Source organism: Homo sapiens, chromosome 2 (genome assembly GCF_000001405.40).
Source record: "Homo sapiens chromosome 2, GRCh38.p14 Primary Assembly".
In the NCBI taxonomy this organism is placed as follows: Eukaryota; Metazoa; Chordata; class Mammalia; order Primates; family Hominidae; genus Homo; species Homo sapiens.
Window position 1 is genome coordinate 95,622,276 of NC_000002.12, and position 4,702 is coordinate 95,626,977.

At 39.6% G+C, this 4,702-nt stretch overlaps 1 pseudogene; it reads left to right on the forward strand.

Moving 5' to 3' along the window:
• Positions 2,975 to 4,129, forward strand: UBTFL3 (UBTF like 3 (pseudogene); annotated as a pseudogene).
• Positions 4,130 to 4,702: the final 573 nt, after the last annotated feature.

Consider the following 4,702-nt stretch of genomic DNA (forward strand, 5'->3'; position numbering starts at 1 on the left):
CCATCCTCTCACCTCAGCCTCCAGAGTGGCTGGGACTACAGGCACTACAAGTGTGGGTCTGGCTAAATTTTTGTTTTTCTAGAGATGGGGTCTGTCTATGTTGCCCAGGCTGGTCTCAAACTCCTGAGCTCAAGCAATCTTCCTGCTTCAGCCTCCCAAAGTGTTGAAATTACAGGCGTGAGCCACCGTGCCGGGCCCTGTATAAATTCTTAGTTTTTCCCAGCTTCTTTCTTTCTTTTTTTAAGAGACAGGGGTTTCTCACTTGTTGCCCAGGCTTATCTTGAACTCCTGAGTTCAAGTGATCCTCCCATCTTAGGCTCCTAAAGTGCTGGGATTACAGGCATGAGCCTCCACACCTGGTCGCAGTTTCATCATGGAAGTAATAGAACAGCAAGCATAAAATGACCTCATAGAGATTCAAGGAGAAAAATAAGATATTAATAATAAGTGTAAAACATTCGCGTATTACTTTGCTGGGGCTGCTGTAATAAACTATCACAGATGAAACAATAATTTGCTCTCTCACATACTGAAAACCTAAAATTTAAAATCAACATGTTGACAGAGTTGGTTCCCATTGGGGATTCTGAGTAGAAATCCAGCCCCTCCCTGTCTGCTGGTTTCTGGTGGCTGATGGGAACATTTAGCTTTCATTGGCTTGTGGCAGCATAGCTCCAGTGAGCTCTGTCTCCGCCTCTGTCTCCACATGGCTGTCGATGTGTCTCAGATCTTCCTTTGATTTCTTCTATAATGATACGAGTCATTGGACTTAGGTCCCACCCTAAACCCAGACTAATCTCATTAGGAGATTACCAAGGTAATTACATCTGCAAAGATCCTAGTTTCAAAAGGTCATATTCACAGGTTTCAGGGGTTAGGACTTAGACACATATTTTGGGGGGCCACGCTCTTTAACTGGCAATTTGAAAAAATGTCTGGCTCATAAAAGAGCCACATAACAACAAAAACACAACTGTATTTTTATTTTCGCTGCTTTATACGCATCATCCTAACATTTACAATTGGGAAGACGGTACTTCTTTTCCTAAATTCAGATTCTGAGTATTCCACATCTCTTTTCCCACATCAAGTCTGTGTGACTTCCCCTTTTTCTGAGTTAGAATACATCTTATATTTATTTATGTATTTATTTTTTGTAATCATCACTTACAATATATTTGGAAGTTTGACATCTTTTTATCCCTGAACCATTTCAGAGTATGTTTTGATCTTAAACACAAAGTATGGAATCAAATATTTTTTAATTTTTTTATTTTCCTTTGTGAATGTTACTTTTTTCTTAATTACTCTCCTGTTATATTATTAAGTTTTTTTTTTTTTTAAGGACACTAATGAACTGACTTTTTTTCAGATTTTTGAGGTTAAAAATTCAATAACTTTCAAGTTTACCCTCTTCTAAGTTTTTCACAGTTTATTTTAATGCTTTATTATAAATTTTAATTTTTTATTTACATTTTCATTTATTATGAACAATTTTCCAAAAGTCTTTTTCACATAATAAATTTGATATATGAGCTATTCTTTATTTTATCTTCTACCTCAAATATGGACTTGAATTATTATCCAGTATTTTAAAACATTTTAATCTCTATATTAAGGAATTTGTGTTTTGAGGCATGTGATATTATAACATTCTTCACACTTCTAGTGAATTTTTAACGTCATTCAAAGGCTACATCCTTCTGTACTCTACTGAGAATTAAAAATAGTTCTCAAAAATATTCTCACATATTCTGAAACTCATTCTCAGAATTTCAACCTCCACTGACATCTTAACTCTGTTCTCTTTCCCTTCTAATGCATATTTTCCCCCGAAGGCCCCATGTTACACTCCTTATGCACCCTCTATTTAAGATCTGGTTTAATTTAATGTTGTATGTGTTTGTACACAATTTTACTGAAGTTAGGCTTTGTCTTAGAATAGAAGATTATCCTAAAAAGACAAGTGAAAGAGTTATGAGAATTTGGAGAATTAGTTGGGAAATCATGTCCCAGAGGAATTACTTTAGGCAAAACAAAATTGGTAAAAATAAATAAATAAATAAAATAAGCAGTAGTTATCGGATCTGCCATGTTTTCAAGTTCTATAATGGAAAATGCCAGGTATTTTGGAGGCACTTTCCGGAGGAAGCCAAACTTTCACTGAGGCTTAAAGATGACGAACAGTTAACCAACTGAAATTGAAATGTTTTATAATTGTCATTAAATCCTTGATATTTAAAAGGAGAAGCGGTATGGTTCGCTAGAAAGCATTCATTCCCATGCATGGGTCCTGGAGAATCTTTAATTCAGTCTTTTATCACAGGTTCACATTCCCTCATAAAAAGGTAACAGTTGGATGCATGTCTGGAGGAGCTCTTGGGCTTGTCCTGTTGCATCTTTAACTTCTCATCTGCACCTTTAGCTATGGCTATTTGGGCTGTGCTTAGAAAATGGCGATACTCAGGGCACTGTAGAATGAACAGTCTTTCCGGTTTAGGCATTTCTCCTTCCACTTTAGCTCTTGACTCTGTCTTCAGGGCATTTCTGTTCTATTAAGCTTCTTAAGTGATGAGTGGTCTGGTGTTTGCCTTATGCAACTCAATTTAAGATCGGTTCATGCGAGATCTGGCAGAAAGAAGGCTGGGGTGGGGTGCGGAGATGTTGAATATTGCGCATGTAGCATATGAAAGGCAAATATGGATTTTCATTCAGAAATGGGCTATATTTTATTTATATCCTTAAGAGTAAATTAATTATACAAGGGATATATGGCGAATAGGGTGTAATTTTTTTCATTAATCCCAATGAAGCAGAGTAACTTTCCTTTCTTTCTCCTCAGAAATACAGAATCACACATACTGCAGGACTTCCAGAAAGAAATCATCCACTGACTCTTAAAAGTAAGGAACTCTGTGTTCTTACTCTGGTGTTTGCATAACTGGGATCTTATAAGTAAGCCAAAGACATCAAAATGGCTTTGCCTAGAAGCCAAGGCCATTGGTCCAACGCAGACATCTTGAGGTTACTGGAATGCATGGAGAATAATCTCCCATCTGATGACAACGGCACGTTCAGCTCAACTCAGTCACACATGGACTGGGGAAAAGTAGCTTTTAAAAACTTTTCTGGTGAAATGTGCAGACTCAAATGGTTAGAGATTTCTTGCAGCTTGAGAAAATTCAGCACTTTGAAAAAATTAGTCCTGGAAGCTAAGAAATGTGTTAAAAATACAAACAAAAGCCAAAAAGGCAGGAACCATCCAGACTTTCCAAAGAGGCCCCTTACTGCTTATATCCGCTTCTTCAAGGAGAATTGGCCCCAGTACTCCCAAATGTACCCTGGGATGAGAAGCCAGGAACTGACCAAAATCCTGTCAAAGAAATACAAGGAGCTCCCAGAGCAGATGAAACAGAAATATATTCAGGATTTCCAGAAGGAAAAGCAAGAATTTGAGGAAAAACTTGTTCGATTCAGGGAAGAGCACCCTGATTTAGACCAGAAGGGCAAGAAATCTGATATCTCCAAGAGGATTCAAACCAAAGTGCAAAAGAAAGTTCAGAAAAATATTGAAGAAGTGACGTCTCTTCCAAAAACGGATCAATTTTTCAAGAAGGTAAAATTTCATGGAGAGCCTCAGAAACCCCCCATGAATGGATACCACAAGTTTCACCAAGATTCCTGGTCAAGTAAGGAGCTGCAACATTTGTCCCTGAGGGAGCGCATGGTAGAGATTGGCAGACGCTGGCAGCGCATCCCGCAGAGCCAGAAGGATCATTACAAGAGCCAGGCTGAGTTGCTGCAGAAGGAATACAAAGTGGAATTGGATCTCTGGCTCAAGACTTTGTCACCTGAAGATTATGCTGCGTACAAAGAATCGACCTATGCTAAGGGTAAGAATATGGCGATGATGGGAGGCCCGGCCCCCAGCTTGAAACAAACAGATCCGCAGTCCTCATCAGCAAAGGGTCTGCAAGAAGGGTTTGGGGAGGGGCAGGGGCTCCAGGCTGCAGGAACAGAGGCATCACAGACTATTTGGGTAAACTGTCAGGTCTCCATGGAACCAGAAGAGAACAGGAAGAAAGATGGCGAAGAGGAAGAAAGCAGTAACTCTTTAGACTGCAGCAGTGGGGAAGACATGGAAGTTGATGTCTGAGGGCAGTGACTCTAGTGCAGCTTCCTCAGAGGACTTCTAACTGGGACTCCACCTGACTCAGACTCTGCCTGACTCAGACTCCAGGGTCAGGCAGAGTTTCTCCGCAAAAGCCCATTCATGCCATCCGTGTCAAGGAAAAGGGACTGTCCTTCTGCCTCTTTTTACTTCTTTGCTTTTTTTTTTTCTCTTTTCTTCCTTCCCCGCTCTCCTCCTCTACACAAAGTAGGACAGGTTGGAAAGAAGCAACTTGGTGCAGCACCCTCTTACATCAGGATTACAAACCTGGGAGGGACTCTTTGCGGAGAATAAATATAAGTTTGAGCCAATACCAACCTTATCCTTAAAAAACAGACAAATATCATGCCTTTCCCAGTGAATTTTGTGCAATTAAAGCTTCTGGAATGAAGCGATGATTAGATGTAGGATACACACTGTACTAGACTGAATATTTCTGAAGCAAGAAGCTTTGCTTTACTCATTTTTGTTCTGCTAAAGGCAGTAAGAAGACACCCATGAGCCTGGGACCCCGACCTTCCCTGTGGAAAT